We start from the raw sequence: 17,708 nt of genomic DNA, 5'->3' as shown, positions 1-17,708 counted from the left end.
TTTGAAATCAGCTTTGATTAATTCAAGTGAAGTTCAAATTTCATCTAATTTCAGAGCCATTCTCATAAGAGCTCTTTATGATTGCCTACTGAGAAGAAGAAATTATGAGAGCTAAGACAGAAACTAAATTTTGTTGAGTGTCTATCCTGTGCCAGACTTTGGTCTGGTGATTGGCCTACTATATCTGATATGATTAAAGAAACTGAAGCTCAGAGACATTTAAATAACTTGTCTAAGGTCATGTATCTAGGAAATTGTGGATACAGGAATCAAACTCAGTCTATATATGGCAAAGGCCAATGCCCTTTCCAAGTATTATGATCTCTATGACAATAAAATTAATTTCATGTAGCCTAAGGATTTGGGTACTTTTTGTGACTGAAAGTTTTGGTCAGCTGCAGAGGACTATATTAGTTAGCTTGAGATACTATAACAACAAACCAATAGACTCAGTGGTTCGTAAACAACAGAAATGTATTTCCTTATAGTTTAGAGGCTGGAAGTCCAAGAACAAGGTCTCAATAGGCTGTGTTCCTTCTGAGGATCTGTCTCCTTGGCTTGTAGATGCCATCTTCTCCTTGCATCTTCACACGATAATGTGCATGTCTATTTCTTAATCTCTTCCTATAAGGACCCCATTCAGCTAGATTAGGGACCACCCATATGATTTTTTTGCCTTAGTTTCCTTTTTAAAGACCTTGTATACAAACACAGTCACATTCTGAGGTACTTGGGGTTAGGATTACAACATAGGAATTTTCTATAAGACACAGTTTGGCCTATAACAAAAGCCAGCAGTGCTCTGACATGACACTAAGAAGTTAATATAAACTTCTTATGAAAAAAGACGCAATAAAACATCCTAAAACTGAACAGCCTATGTATGGTATAGTCTTTGCTTTCATCACTTTCTTTCAAGTTACTGTTGTTTCTCATCTGGACTCCTTACTACATTAGCCTCTAAACTAAGCTTCTTGAATTTTCTCATATTCAACCCCAAATGAAGTAACAGTTTGCCAGTAATTTGTAGATTTAATGCTATCCCCATCAAGCTACCATTGACTTTATTCATAGAATTAGAAAAAAAACTACTTTAAATTTCATATGGAACCAAAAAAGAGCCTGTAGGGCCAAGACAATCCTAAGCAAAAAGAACAACGCTGGAGGCATCACGCCACCTGACTTTAAGCTATACGACAAGGCTACAGTAACCAAAACAGCGTGGTACTCATATCAAAACAAATATATAGACCAGTGGAACAGAATAGAGGCCTCAGAAATAACACCACAAACCTACAACCACCTGATCTTTGACAAACCTGACAAAAACAAGCAATGGGGAGAGGATTCCCTATTTAATAAATGGCATTGGGAAAACTGGCTAGCCTTATGCAGAAAACTAAAACTGGATCCCTTCCTTACACCTTTTACAGAAATTAATTCATGATGGATTAAAGACTTAAACTAATACCTAAAACCATAAAAACTCTAGACGAAAACCTAGGCAATACCATTCAGGACATAGGCATGGGCAAAGACTTCATGACTAAAGCACCAACAGCAAAGGCAACAAAAGCCAAGATTGTATAGCATAATTCCAAAGATCATTATTTACTTTGTATTCCAGGAGAATGTCAAACTCTAACAAATTATGTTAAAAAGTGGCCTTGCATATTGTCAATGCTTCATTTCATGGTAAACATCCAAAATCAGGCCTTTGTTCATTTTATGTGCTTTTATTTTTATGTATTTATTTTTTATTATACTCTAAATTCTGGGATACATGTGCAGAATGTGCAGGTTTGTTACATAGGTATACACATGCCATGGTAGTCTGCTGCAACCATCAACCTGTCATCTACATTAGGTATTTCTCCTAATGCTATCCATCCCTAGACCCCAATCCCCTGACAGGCCCCAGTGTGTGGTGATCCCCTCCCTGTGTCTATGTGTTCTCATTGTTCAACTCCCATTTATGAGCGAGAACATGCAGTGTTTGGTTTTCTGTTCCTATGTTAGTTTGCTGAGAATGATGGTTTCCAGCTTCATCCATGTGCCTGCAAAGGACATGAACTCATCCTTTTTTATGGCTGCATAGTATTCCATGGTATATAAGTGCCACATTTTCTTTATCCAGTCTATCACTGATGGACATTTGGATTGGTTCCAAGTCTTTGATATTGTGAATAGTGCTGCAACATATGTGTGAATGTGTCTTTATAGTAGGATGATTTATAATCTTTTGGGTATATACTCAGTAATGGGATTGCTGGATTAAATGGTATTTCTGGTTCTAGATCCTTGAGGAATCGCCACACTGTCTTCCACAATGGTTGAACTAATTTACACTTCCACCAACAGTGTAAAAGTGTTCCTATTTCTCCACATCCTCTCCAGCTTCTGTTGTTTCCTGACTTTTTAATGATCACCATTCTAACTGGCCTGAGATGGCATCTCATTGTGGTTTTGATTTGCATTACCCTAACGACCAGTGACGATGAGTTTTTTTCATATGTTTGTTGGCTGCATAAATGTCTTCTTTTGCGAAATGTCTGTTCATATCCTTCACCCACTTTTTCATGGGGTTGTTTTTTTTTCTTGTAATTTGTTTAAGTTCCTTGTAGATTCTCGATATTAGTCCTTTGTCAGATGGATAGATTGCAAAACTTTTCTCCCATTCTGTAGGTTGCCTTTTCACTCTGATGCTAATTTCTTTTGCTGTGCAGAAGGTCTTTAGTTTGATTAGATCCCATTTGTCAATTTTGTCTTTTGTTGCCATTGCTTTTGGTGTTTTAGTCATGAAGTCTTTGCCCATGCCTATGTCCTGAATGGTATTGCCTAGGTTTTCTTCTAGAGTTTTTATGGTTTTAGGTATTACTTTTAAGTCTTTAATCCATCTTGAATTAATTTTTGTAAAAGGTGTAAGGAAAGGATCCAGTTTTCGTTTTCTGCATAAGGCTAGCCAGTTTTCCCAACACCATTTATTAAATAGGGGATCCTTTCCCCATTGCTTGTTTTTGTCAGGTTTGTCAAACATCAGGTGGTTGCAGATTTGTGGTGTTATTTCTGAGGCCTCTGTTCTGTTCCATTGGTCTATATATATTTGTTTTGATATGAGTACCATGCTGTTTTGGTTACTATAGCTTGATGGGGATAGCATTGAATCTACAAATTACTTTGGGCAGTATGGCCATTTTCACAGTATTGATTCTTCTTATTCATGAGCATGGAATGTTTTCCTATTTGTGTCCTCTCTTATTTGTTTGAGCAGTGGTTTGTAGTTCTCCTTGAAGAGTTCCCTCACATCCCTTGTAAGGCTGGTTCAACATATGCAAATCAATAAATGTAATCCATCACATAAATAAAACCAATGACAAAAACCACATGACTATCTCAATAGATGCAGAAAAGGCCTTCGATGAAATTCAACACCCCTTTACGCTAAAAACTCTCAATAAACTAGGTATTGATGGAAAGTATCTCAAAATAATGAGAGCTATTTATGAGAAACCCACAGCCAATATCATACTTAATGGTCAAAAACTGGCAACATTCCATTTGAAATCCTGCACAAGACAAGGATGCCCTCTCTCACCATATTTAACATAGTATTGGAAGTTCTGGCCAGGGTAATCAGCCAAGAGAAAGAAAGAAAGGGCATTCACATAAGAAGAAAGGAAGTCAAATTGTCTCTTTGCAGTTGACATGATTGTATTTTTAGTAAACCCTATCATCTCAGCCCAAAATCTCCTTATGCTAATAAGCAACTTCAGCAAAGTCTCAAGATACAAAATCAATGTGCAAAAATCACAAGCATTCCTACACAACAATAATAGACAAACAGAGAGCCAAATCATGAGTGAACTCCCATTCACAATTGCTACAAAGGGAATAAAATACCTAAGAATACACCTTTGTTCATTTTAAACTCTGTCATTGTAATACTCTATTGTATCCTTCTGGAGCGCCACTGTACTCTCTTAACCTATTATTGCCAGTGTAGTCTTACTTGCAGTTTAATTCATGTTACCTGCCTTCAGAAACCTCTTCTATTGCACCTCTTTATGTATCAAGTTTGGGCCTCCCCCTTGTAATCTTAGCCTACTTGCCCTCCCATCATATAGCCTCAACTGTAGGCAGACTGGATTTTGACCACATACTACCCACTTTAACCTGCCTATGCTCTGTTTACTCCATCTAGAATGCCAAAGTCAACTCCTTCTGCAGGGTCACATTTAAATTATACTTTATGAACAGACCTTTTCCTAGTACAGCAAAACAGAAATGACAGTATTTTCCATTCTACATCATTAAACGTTCACCTTTATTGTACTGGATCTTTATAAAAAGGGAGTCTCTATTATAGCCAGTTAAGTCAGTGGTCCCTTCAAAGTCATGGAGTAACTGAAAATATGACAGAGATCATTGACTAGAAGAATTTTAGGATATTTTATTGGCATAGTCCAGTGTTGTGCTGGAACCAGCTCATCTAGGCAATTGTAAGAGAAATGTTAAATTTTTAAGTGTCTCTTGTTAAACACAGCCATTATTAAAAATTAAATTCTATAAACAATAATTAAGCTATAAAAAAATAAAAGTTAAATATCAGACAATTCTAATTAAACATAATTCCTTTTAACATATTTTACAGTTTTTTATGCTCTTTAGGCTATTTTCAGCTCTACTGTCTATGTGGTCAACATAATATATATGAGTGTGTTGTTCCCCTCCCTGTGTTCATGTGTTCTCATCATTCAGCTCCCACTTATAAGTGAGAACATGTGGTGTTTGGTTTTCTGTTTCCCAATTCATTTGCTAAGGATAATGGCTTCCAGCTTAGTCCATGTCCCTGCAAAGGACATGATCTCATTCATTTTTATAGCTGCATAATATTCCATGGTGTATATGTATCATTTTTTTTTAAATCTGGTCTATCATTGATGGACATTTGGGTTGATTCCATGTCTTTACTATTGTGAATAGTGCTGCAATGAACATACACATGCTTGTATATTTATAATAGAATGATTTATATTCCTTTGGGTATATACTCAGTAATGGGATTGCTGGGTCAAATGACATTTCGACTCTAGACCTTTGAGGAATTGCCATACTATCTTCTACAATGGTTGAAATAATTTACATTCCCACCAAGAGTGTAAACGTGTTCCCATTTCTCCACAACCTCACCAGCATCTGTTATTTCTTTACTTTTTAAAAATCACCATCTGACTGGCATGAATTGGTGTCTCATTGTGGTTTTGATTTGCATTTCTCTAATGATCAGTGATGTTGAGCTTTTTTTCATATCTTTGTTGGCTGCATAAATATCTTCTTTTGAGAAGTGTTTGTTCATGGCCTTTGCCCACTTTTTAATAGGGTTGTTTTTTTCTTGTAAATTTATTTAAGTTTCATGTAGACTCTGGATATTAGACCATTGTCAGATGGATAGATTGTAAACATTTTTCCCTATTCTGTAGATGGTCTGTTTGCTCTGATGATAATTAGGAAGAGCATCAGGAAAAATAGCTAATGCATGCTGGGCTTAATACCTAGGTGATGAGTTGATAGGTGCAGCAAATACCCATGGCACAGGTTTACCTATGTAACAAACCTGCACATCCTGCACATGTGTCCCAGAACTTAAAAAAAATGAAAAAATAAAATCTTCCCTGTAGATACAATATCAATACTACACAGTCCTTGTCACACTAGTCACCATATAGTAAAAAGACAAACATTAAATTTTATAATTAGAGTAATGCAACTATTGGCACCATAGAAATATGCAGTGGATATATCTATTGACATTTATTCTATTTGAATTTAAAACTGAGGATTTTTAAGTGTTTGTTATTCATTTACTCTGCATGTTAACATAAATAATGTTTTTATGAAAATGACTATATTTCCCCAAAAAACAATAAAGTTTGCTAAGTGAAATAAACTAGTCACAAAAAGAAAAAATATATATATAACAAAACAATGTAGGAAGCAGGTCTAAAAATCCACTCTCTAAGGTTTCTTAGAATACATATAATTTTGTAATTGAGGAGACAAATTTACATAAAAAAGGTAAGCCATTTCCCAAAAACCATGTAAGTGATAAATCAAACAAATAGATTTTCAATCACTGTCTCCTCACTCTGTCGAGGGCACTTGTGACTAAGCTGTGCTGTCCTTGATAATATATCTTATCTTAGCCCAGTTTAGTGCTTTTATATCACAATGAATGCAGAGTAGCTTCAGTAACAGAAGCTGCTATACACAATGATTCATAGTGGATGCTCAGTAATTTACTTATGAAAAATTGCTGCTCATTTTCTAAAATTTATTTATTCAACAAATACTTAGGTTGCCTAGGCCCTTGAGATAAAGAGGGTAATTAACCCCTTTGTTTAACTGTCTCACAGTCTTTTATGGAGTAAGACAAATATGTAATTACAATAAAACATAAACAATATCCTATGACATTGGAGGGGAGTTGAGCAATGACAGCACAGTGGAAGATATCTGTTTAGAACTGTGGGCCAGGTGTGGTAGCTCATGCCTGTAATCCCAGCACTCACTCTGGGAGGCTGAGGCTTCCCAAAGCCTCCTGGGATTGCTTGAGCCCAGGAGTTCAAGACCAGCCTGGGCAACATGGAGAAATTTAGTCTCTACAAAAAAATACAAAAATTATCTGGGTGTGGTAGTGTGTGCCTGTAGTCCCAGCTAACCGGGAGGCTGAGGTGGGAGGATCACTTGAGCCTGGAAAGTTGAGGCTGCAGTGAGCCGTGATTGTACCACTGCACTCCAGCCTTGGTGACAGGGGTGAAACCTTGTCTCAGAAAAAGCAACAACAACAACAATAAAAACTTAATTTAGAGAATTCTGTCACTTTCAGCCAACTCTTGAAGGATGGGTAGGAATTAGCTAAATAGAAGGGTATTCCAGGAATAAGAGAGATTGTGTGAAATTTAGAGATGTAAAAAAGCCTAGTGTATTTGATCTACATATCCTTTGTTATGGCTGGAGCATGTGCTGTGCCTCAGGAAAAGGCAGGCAGTGAGACTGGAGAGAAGAGTCAAGCAGCAGATCATGAAAAGTTTGGATGCCATTAAATATCCTAAGAAGTTTGAATTCTACCCTGAAATGTATAGGATCTAAATTTCTTTGCATGCCTAAAGTGGTACTGTCTAATAGAAATGTAATGCTAGCTATATTTATAATTTTAAGAAAAAGTAAAAATAAATGATATTAAATTTAATAATACATTTTATTTAACCCAATATATCTAAACTTCTATCATTTTAACATGTAATCCACATATTAATGGGATATTTTGCATTCTTTCTTTTGTATTAAGTCTTTGAAATGTATTTTGTGGTTTACACTGAACATCTCAATGTGGCAAGTGGCTATTAACTGGACAGCACAAGTCTAAATTATAGAGGAAAGTCACCAAGGCTCTAATGCCTGAACACAGCATAGTTACCCACTCTTAAATGAGGCTCAAAATTTGGCAACAATGACAGTGCAGCCATTATACTACATTTTAATTCTTCCTTCTCATTTCTGAATCCAAATTGAGTTCCTCCTCTCAGTACTTTGTTTAGACACCAAGTCCTTCCAAAGGGAATCTGGCTACAACAGAACCCAGACAGCACAGATCTAAACTGGAGAAGGTAGCGGCAGGCCAGGGAGCTGCTGTCAAAGAAGCGACTTTTTTTCAGCAAAAGCTGTCAAGCATGAAGAGTTTTGGCTGCGCTGTAGAGGATTTTCTGCCTTCAGCTGGTGATGGGAGAATTTCTGCATTGTCATTAGATCCAGTTAGAATCAAGGATCATTGGTGGCTAGTGAGCTAAAACAGGCAAAATAAATAACTCACCGATCCACCCGACCCATTGACACACAGCTCCGTATAGAGTTTTCTCCTTTCTGTGGAAATGGAATTACTTTTAATGAGACATGCACCGAAGTCTTCAGCTGTGAATTTGACAGCTTACAAAGAAAGCAGAAAGAAGTTGAATTCTGGAAGCTTAGAGTGGGAATCTGGGTCATAGCTTCTGTCTCAAGTTTTTATTTTCCTCTAGGAAGAATAGCCAGAGGAAAAAAATGAGGAAGACTCCAATATTTTTAAGAAGATTAAAAAAGTGATTTTTTCATTATGGAAATCTCAAACCATTTTAAAAAATAATAAAAGCTTGGAATATTCCAAAAAATTTAACACCAAAATCACTGTTTTTGTCATTTTCTATGGTCTCTCTGAAGTTTCTCCCTCTTCAGCAATGATGTAGTTAAGTAACTAATACAAGATAATATGGTATGTCTATTTTCAAGAGCCCCCTCTTATTTTACAGGACTTTGTCCATAGAAAAGCTATGATTAAGCGTTGTGTATTTTGTAGAAAGGCTCTGAGATTTAAACACCAACTATCAGCAACATGGGGACTGAATCATTTAGTGCTAAATCACATACATCTGTAATCTTTTGGAAATTAAGCAAAATACTTATATATTAAATATTATGTTTGCTGAGACAAATTCAATTCAGTAGTATTTGGAATTAGTTTCAAATGAAACATTTAGTAGCAGGCCTTTGGAAGAACCACAGGACTAAATTGAACAATTTTTACCCAGTGTCTTAAGAGTAACAATATATGGAGGGCAAAGAGCATGGGCTTTGAAATTTGACAGAATGAGGGTTGAAATTTCAGCTCTTCTATTTACTAGCTGTCAATTATTTGGCAAATTGTTTCAGCATCAACACCTTCTTTAGAAATGTGGGAAATAATAGCAACTTCATTAGGTTGGTTGGTTTTAATAATAACACATTTGGAGTGAATAGTGCAATAATTTGTTCATATTATTATTAACCTTTTACCAAATAATTTTACAGGATCTAGATAAATGTTGAGGATGGTGATGATGATGATTATAAAAAAATCCTGTATTCAGTGCTTACTCTGTTCCATGCTCTGGGCTAAGTACTTTACCTAAAATAACCCCTTCTTAATATGAGCAAAGAAAACTTCTTGAGTTTCCAGATTCTCTTCTAATCACCACCATACTCTTAGCTCTTGTTCAGTGCCAAGTGTCTCAAAAAAGTTGTATAAATATATTGTCTTCACTTTTTTTACTCCCATTCACACAAGCCTACTCCTATATATCTTCTACTATGTTGCCAGAATTAGTGGATTTTTTTCACTACACATCTTACTTTAGTTTTCAACAGAGTGTTTTAAAAAAAAGAGTGTAAAAACAGTTTCTTTTCCTGATTTCCATAAGAATATATTATCTTGGTTTCTCTTCTTCTTCATTGTCTTTGTGAGCTATTCCTTCTCAGTTAATGCACACATATTTGAATTCTTTAGGGTATAACTCAGAGCTCTCTTTCCTTCACTTCCTACACTTTTATCTATTATTGTTGCTATCCATATACTGAGGACTCCCAAATAGTTCCAATTCAGACTTCTATTCTCTTAGCCAGAATGTTCTTATTTAATTTCCTACTTGGCATTTCTACTTGGCTATTTCACAGAAATTTAAAAATTTCTTTCCAAATTTGGTTTTCTTTCAATTATGTTTGTATCAGTTCATTCAACCCAGTTATATGAACTAGAGTTGCTGGAGGGAGTAGATACATGTTGAGAATCAACTTTCGATTCCAGGGCTCAGGAATCTACCAAACCAAATATGACACTCAAACTTGTTGTCCTCAACATGTATGGCAGTTAAAACTGTCACGTATTCTTCTTTAAATAATCTGATTTCCTGTTTTCTACCATATCTAAATTTATTTGGTCAACATGTACCTTTGCTCTTAAGATCAAACTTCTTTCTCTAACTCCATACTTGATAGCCAGAAGAAAATTCACCAACTCAGCATACCACTCAGCAAACCACTTGGCATGTACTTTTATGGCAATATTCAGTAGCCCTGGTTAGTATTCCTTTAAATAATGTTTTATACATATAGTTTAAAATCCACGAGTGGGGCGATGCATAGTTATAAACTTATAACTTATCTACATTTGTTACATAATTATACTAGCAATTTGTTTTCTGCTTAATTTACTGTTGAAGAGTTCATCAAATGTTACGACATAATCCATTCCTAGAGTAATAACTAAAGCAAATTTTCTAAATGAGATCCTTCTGGTACTTCCAATAATAAACACCTTGGATGAGATTCAATAATGCCATGCCTTATGCTTAATGCTGTGGTATATGGGTCGTGTTATAGAAAGACTCCAGGGCAGGATGAGAAATAATTGGGCCATTGTTCAAAACTTGGAAAACTGTTTGTTAACAAAGTTTTCGTATCCATGACATTTATAATTCAGGTACCTTGATGAAGGTGCATGATAATGATAACTTTTTATTCCAGTCCTTTGGCTTTAAAACTTTCACATTAATCATATGTCCAGGTTCCTAAACACCTAAATCTCAATTATATAGGAATTTTTAGGAATATTTCTTGGATCATTTAACTTCCTTCTTTCTTTCCATAAAAATATGTATACACATTTCTTGCATCATTTAACTTCCTTCTTTATTTGCATAAAAATAAGTATATACAATGTTTTGTTGTGAAAGAAATATCTGCATTAAAGGACACTGTCTAGTAACAGGAGATAAATATAAACAAATGAGTGTAATACAGAGTTTAGAATGCCACATCCATTGCACATATGGCTGTAGTGGGAAAAATGGCATCAAACAAAAGAACATCTTTATGAAACTGTTAATAAAATAAGAAGAGGTGCTTCACTGTCAAGCTTTTCCCACTCCTGGCCATTTTGGTTAATCACTAGTTTAAGCCACAACCCTGTCAATATGGGCAGTTTGGGCTAAGATCTCTTGATGAACACTTCTAATTCACATTAAAGGACACGAAGTGGAGACTGGACACTGCTTATATGTATATTTAGGGGATGATATCATGCCAGACTAATGTCACAACTCACATGAGAGATGACTGAGTTTTATTTTTTATTTTTTTGAAAATTAAAACAACTCTCATTTATTCAAGCAATATGGTGACAAAAATTTAATAACATGACAATAACCAGTAATGGTGAAGGTATGGAGAAACAGGCATTCTCATATGCTTCTAATCAAAGTATAAATTGGTGGGAACTTGTTGGAGAGCAAGTTTGCTAAAATACTAAATAGTTACACTGTTTGACCAATATTTCAAATTTTGACCAAGAAATTTCATTTTTATTTCAGGATTTTACTTTATGGAAATGAAAACAATCAAAAATGGAGGAAATTTGTTTCTTGTAACAGTGTTCAAAATCATGAAAAACTATGCACAACTTAAGTATCATCTATACACATACAGATATGAAAAAGACCATTGGAGTGAAAAAGATCAGTATGCGTGTTACACAATCAGTCTTTGTTGTTAGCTCATTCCCTACTTGCAAATTTTAACAAATTAAAAGTTACATGCCATATAATGATGTTTTAGTTAATGACAGACTGCATATGCCACAGTGGTCCCATAAGATTATATATGGATCTAAAAACTTCCTCTCATCTAGTGATGTCATAGCTATCATCATGTCATAGCAGAATGTATTACACATGTGTTTGTGGTGATGCAAATGTAAACAAACCTACTGTGATGTCCGTTGTACAAAGATACCGCACATACAATTATATACAGGACATCATACTTGATAACAATGATAAATGACCATGTTACTGATTTATGTATTAACTATACTATATTTTTATCATTATTTTAGAGTGTACTTTTTCTACTTATATACATTTAAAAAATTCACCATAAATTAGCTTCAGGCAGATCTTTCAGGAGGTATTCCAGAAGAAGGCATTGTTATCATAGGGGATGACAGCTTCATGCATGTTATTGCCCCTAAAGGCCTTCCAGTGGGCAATATGTGGAAGTGGACGTGAAAGGCAGTGATATTGACAATCCTGGCCTGTGTAGGCCTAGGTTAATATGTTTGTTTGTGTCTTTACTTTTAAGAAAAAAGTTTAAAAAGTAAGAAAAACAAAAACAACAACATTAAATAGTAAAAAGCTCATAGAATAAGGACATAAGGAAAGAAAATTTTACTTCACTAGTAGTTGTCAGTAAAATGAACTGTGTTTACAGTAGCAACAGGATATTAGTAGTTAAAGCCACTTGAAATATACTTTAAAATAATTGTTTATATTGGGAATCTTAATTTCCTTGTGAGGAAAAGATAATTTGGACCAACTAAGATGGAAAATAAAGTTCTATTGTAGAAGGTTACACTTATTCCTTTTCTTTGCAAAGATTTAGTATTTCCTGAAGTGAATACTTTCTGAAAAAGTATTTTCCACATTCTTTTAGCATCTGCTTGGTGTTCTGCTTAGAAAAATGTATTTACTCTTCCAAAATTTTTTTTGCCTATTTTTCTGTACTACTTTTCTGTACAAGAAATACGTAAGTACCTACCATGTGATGATATGTAGTTAAATAAAGCATTAACTACCCTCTATGGGCTCACAGTTTTGAAAAGAAGGATATGTAAATACATCCAAAATATAATGAATATATGCAATAGGCAACATATATAATACAGAAATCTATTTTAATTTATTATAATACTTAGTACCTTAACTCATTTCCTGACTCTGAGGCATTTTAGAAATCCCATGATAAAACACATTATTTAAAGTGAGCTATGTTTCCTAAGAAAAAATTCAGCATCGTTGTTTATATTTTTAACCAAGTTTTCAGCATCAAATAAATCATGAGTATAATCAGCCTTGTTATAAAGGTGAAGGATCCACAATTATAAACTTTTTTAGCAATTACAAATTACAGAGATTATACAAATACCGTAATTAAATAATGGAACTATGGAGAAGATGTAGTCTCCAGCCTAAAGGAATCTAGGGAATTGAATTTGTACAACATGGAAAAATGTATTCCATGTAGAAAGAACAGCATTAGTAAAAATAAATAAATGAGAATATGTGGGGTGTCTGTGATACATATGAAAGAGAATAGTAAAAAGTACCAAACAAAAAATAGTGGTTGGTAGGGTTTGGGAAAATGAAAAATAAGAGATGATAGATAAAATAGTATACAAGCTTCTATGCAGTGAATCAGGGTCTGATTTATGGAAAGAGAAGTAAAGATACTATGAAAAAAAGAAAAGTATCAAAGAAAACAAAATTACTTGTATCTTTACTATTATTATAATAGTTTGGTTTTGATTCTAATGATAGTTTTCCCTACCACACGAGATTGATAAATTGAAACAATATATTTAATGGCTATTTTGCCAGAAAAATGAAAATCTCACTAGGTACACCTTGTCTATGCTGTTATACTTTATTATCTTTATCTTAAAGTGGCCAATGTAACACAGTTGTTAATGATATTGAATTTGTACCATCTGAAATAGCATTTACCTATGATTACAAATTACTTACTAAAGTATGATTTGGTGCCTTTTAATATACAGTTCAAATAAAACATTTTTCCTAGGTTAGCAGAAAGTTTTTTATTTTATAATTTAATTTAATTTAATTTTATTTTATATCCAGGGTGTTCATGTGCAGGTTTGTTACATGGGTATATTGCCCTTTGTTGGATTTGAGGCTTGTAGTGTACCCATCAGCCAGATGTGAACATTGTACCCAATAAATAATTTTTCAACCCTTACTCCCTTCCTGACCTCTTCCCTTTTGGGGTCCCCAGTCTCTGTTACAGAAGAAAGTTTTATAGTTACTCTTTAACAAATCCTGTTTCCAATGTGTGCTTTATAGGGTCAATGTAGGCAGATACTTCCAGATCCCAGCTGATGAAATTCAGGTCAAATAGTATTAGTGAAAGCACTAGCTTTAAACAGTATTTGAGGTTGAATTATTAAAATCTGTTACGATCTGAGGAAAAAACTGGGGTCCTCAGGGTAAATATTTTGATTATTGTGCAACTCTGTTCATGTTTTAAGTGAAATATTTTATAATAGCTTATTAGAGTGACGCCCCCTAGACACAATATGGCAATCCTGATTGCTGGTCACATAGTTGGGCAATTATTTTAATCTGGAAATAGACATTGATTATTTTGTACTGCTCATTCAATAATTTATTTCTTTATTCAACATGTGTTAGTTATCTAACAGGTCCCATTAGCGGTACAAAAATGAATAATATGCTGATGTTGCAAATGGCAGAAATTTTTCTTTTTAAACCCATTTTTTAGGGTTTTTAGGCTGACTAGTATTTCATTGTGTATATATATATATATATATACACCACATTTTTTAATTCATTTATCTGTTGATGGATATAACTTGGCTTTTGTAAATAATGCTGCCATGAACATGAGAGTGCAGTTAAAATTAGCTGGAAAGGTAGCCAGGGGTAGGGGTGATTATCATATGATAATTCTGTTTTTAGTTTTGTTGAGGAACTTCCGTGAAGTTTTCTATTAATGGGTGTACTAATTTACATTTCCACCAAGAGTAGCATATAAAGAACTTCTGTGAATTTTATCCCTAAAACAGGATAAAATGATAAAGCAGAGAGAAGACAATTACTTTAAAAATTATCTGCATCAACTCTCTCCTTTCAATGACTTTTAAGTATGCTAGTTTATTTTTTTATTAAATGTATATTTTCATATTTTCAAAAGTCAAATAGTACAGCAGAGCTTAAAGTGAAAAAAAGTGTTTTAGTTTTTCATCCTTTTATTTTCACCTCCATATCTCTAATATGAATATGTCTTTTTAAAAAGTAACTACTTTTAAATGACTATAGACATTATCTCTTACCTTGTACATCTTCTTATTCCTTCTTTTAATATAATTATCTCACTACATTAGCTGCCTCCTGATTATTTTAGCATCAAATAATTCCCTTAATCACATACATTTTATTTTCTGTATATCTTGACTTCCAAATTGGGAGTGAGTGACTTTAATGGCCTTCCTCTTCCCAACAACTTTCCCTGCATCTACCTCTCAGACTTCATCATCTTTCTCTTTAATTGTCATTGTAAAAGTTGATAACAAATATATTTTATTGCATAATGAGTTTTTCCATTTGTCTATAGGTGGATTCTTAAGGTTGAAAATCAATGATTGACATTTGCATCGTTATACCTGTAAGTAGCGTGAGCTACGAGTGAAGACATTGGGCTATGATTACATTTTCTCCACATAATTCCAAGTTGTAAACCCTCTGCTACCTAAAGAAGAACGTTCTATGGATTCTGTCTTACTTCTATTTATTTAAAATGAAGTCACATGTTAGTTTCATATTTTATACCACAGCTTTCTTTCTCAGTTACTTGTTTCCCTCTATTGGAAAAAGTAATAGTTACTTCCTTAGCTTTTTCCTCATTCTACATATTACTTGAAATGTGTTCTATTTTTATTTGAGAAGCCTGTAGACTTTTTTTTGCTGCATTTTTTCATTATTTTAAAATGTATAATTATAGAATACAGTGTTTCTATCAACTACCAGAAAGTCTCAACACTTCAGTCTTTTCCATTTTATTGGAAGACATATTCTCTTTGTCTCCCAGCTTACAAAGGATTTCTTTTGTTAAATCAAAATTATATTCTGTAAAATTTTTATGTCACACATGTGTTAAAACTGTTTCTTATTTAAATGTTTCAAGTAAACTTTCTTTCTTAGAGCAGTTTTTGATTCACTGCAAAATTGAGTGAAAATTTTTCATATACCCCCTGCCTTTTTTAATTTTAAAGAGTACAGCTTGGGATTTGCTCTGGGAAAATAATACTTTATTCTGCTAGTGTAAGCTTAATTTTTTAGTCTAGTGTACAGTAATAGTGCCATTTTCTCCACTGTTTTGTTTTGGATGCTCCAGTAAAGAGTAGCTAAACTCTGTCTAGAATATTCTTTATAATTTCAGTAGGTTCAATTAATTGGGTTCAGGTGACCTACCAGATAGTTTACATACATTAAATATAATATTAAAATATCTGGATATTAAGCAGTGTTACTTCAGAAAGCTGAGATTAAAAAGACTATATAAATTGAAGTTGAACTCAGGTTTCTCTAATAACAAAGTTCTCTCCACTATTTCAAGCTGCTTCTCTACAACATATTATATAAACATAAACAGTGTTAAAGCTGTTAGGAACAAAATGCTAAATAATCTGAATTTTTTAGATGTCTTTTCTTGTTTAACAGTGAATGTATTGAGAATAAAAGTAAATAAATGATGTGAAATTCTCGATAAATTCACATCACAATCACTTACCTAATTTCAAATTATTTATGCAAATGCCTCTGCCTTAAATCAAAACATGAAATGCAAGACAGTCTGTTGAAAAACAGAGTTAGCTAAAAATAAATGAAAGAATAATAGATTACTCACATTAGTGTAAAACTGGTAATTTAGGCCCTTTGGCACATTTTTCAGAAAGTGCCCTTTAAACTTTGTTAATTGCAAAATAACTAGATTGCCCACCTGCCATCATGACAGAGGCTTCTTGTTGCTTTTAATTCTGGAGAAGGAGGGAAAAGATGCAGCTGGCCCACCAGTATTTTTGGCTGAGATTCAAGCTGACCTGCTCTGCTCTGCCCTTTGCAGTTTGTTCATGGAGATAAAACTTCACCAAAATCCACCCTCAAAGTTAACAGATTTCATTTGCAGCAAGGTACCTGTGGTATGGTAGCACCCACATCAGGACAGGAATCAGAGATTTGTGTTCAAACTAAGATCCTGACACCTACTATCTGTATTTGAACTTCAGTTTTATCAGCCAAGGGAAGAGAACATTAACCTTTATCACAGAGTTGTTGTAAGGAGCAGTGAGCTAACATATATAAACTGACTTTCCCAAAATCAAATTGTTGTGGAGTTGTATTTATTGCAGTTATAGACATGTAGTGAACCCTATGCAACTGAATGCCCACAGTGCTCCTTATTAATTTGATATCTACTCCTCCTGATGAGATTCCAGTTCCTAGGTCAAGTTGATTTTTAAGTCAGTCACATCCTTATATGTTCTACAGCTTGGTTATCTTGTAATAGCCTCTTGTATTCTTCAAAGCAATCCCCCTTATATATCTAATATTTTGAAAATTCAGAATATGAGCCCTGTATAAAATATAGAGCCTTAAAATGTTCCAAAAATATCTAAAATTGGAGAATTGTCACTCTGAAATGGGAAAGAGAAATGCGGATGTAATTAGAATTCTGAGACTCCCAAGAGTCAGCCTTAGACAAGTAGAGGGAGCAGAACCTATGCTATTAGATCTGTGAATGAGTTCAGCCCTCCACTTACTGCTAGTGTAACTCAAGGTAAATATGGACCTAACTGCTCTGTTTTCTGATCTATGTATTGAATGGAGCCCATAATAGCTACATCAATATTTTATTGTGAGTGCTAAATTAGATCACATATATAAAGGTCCTTGTGTCCTGGCATATAGCTGACTGTCAATATTAATCCCCTTTTCATTAATTTTTAAAGACTAACATTTGTCCTTAGTCCCCAAATTTTGCAAAAGACTTTGAACTTTTTTTCCTTATCAATAACTTCCCCATGGTTGTATAGGATAAAACTGTAAATGTTTTTCATAAGTTTACACATTCACCTGCGACAAGACTAAATCTTAAGCAAGGATCTCAGTTTTTCAATTAAGACCAAACCATAAATTCTCATGATTATAAGTATATAATATACTGAATATTATATATAATATAATACTTTATAAAATATTTATATGGCA

General features: G+C 34.0%; 1 protein-coding gene across 4 annotated transcripts in view; it reads left to right on the top strand.

Annotated features, from left to right (window-relative positions):
• GRM5 (glutamate metabotropic receptor 5) overlaps window positions 1-17,708 on the top strand; it is a 561,341-nt gene that overhangs the window by 197,672 nt on the left and 345,961 nt on the right. The gene's annotated exons all lie outside the window — the stretch shown is intronic.

Source organism: Homo sapiens, chromosome 11 (genome assembly GCF_000001405.40).
Source record: "Homo sapiens chromosome 11, GRCh38.p14 Primary Assembly".
NCBI classification, from domain to species: Eukaryota; Metazoa; Chordata; class Mammalia; order Primates; family Hominidae; genus Homo; species Homo sapiens.
Note: the sequence above shows the minus strand (reverse complement) of the source record. Positions and strands in the feature narration are given on the sequence as shown.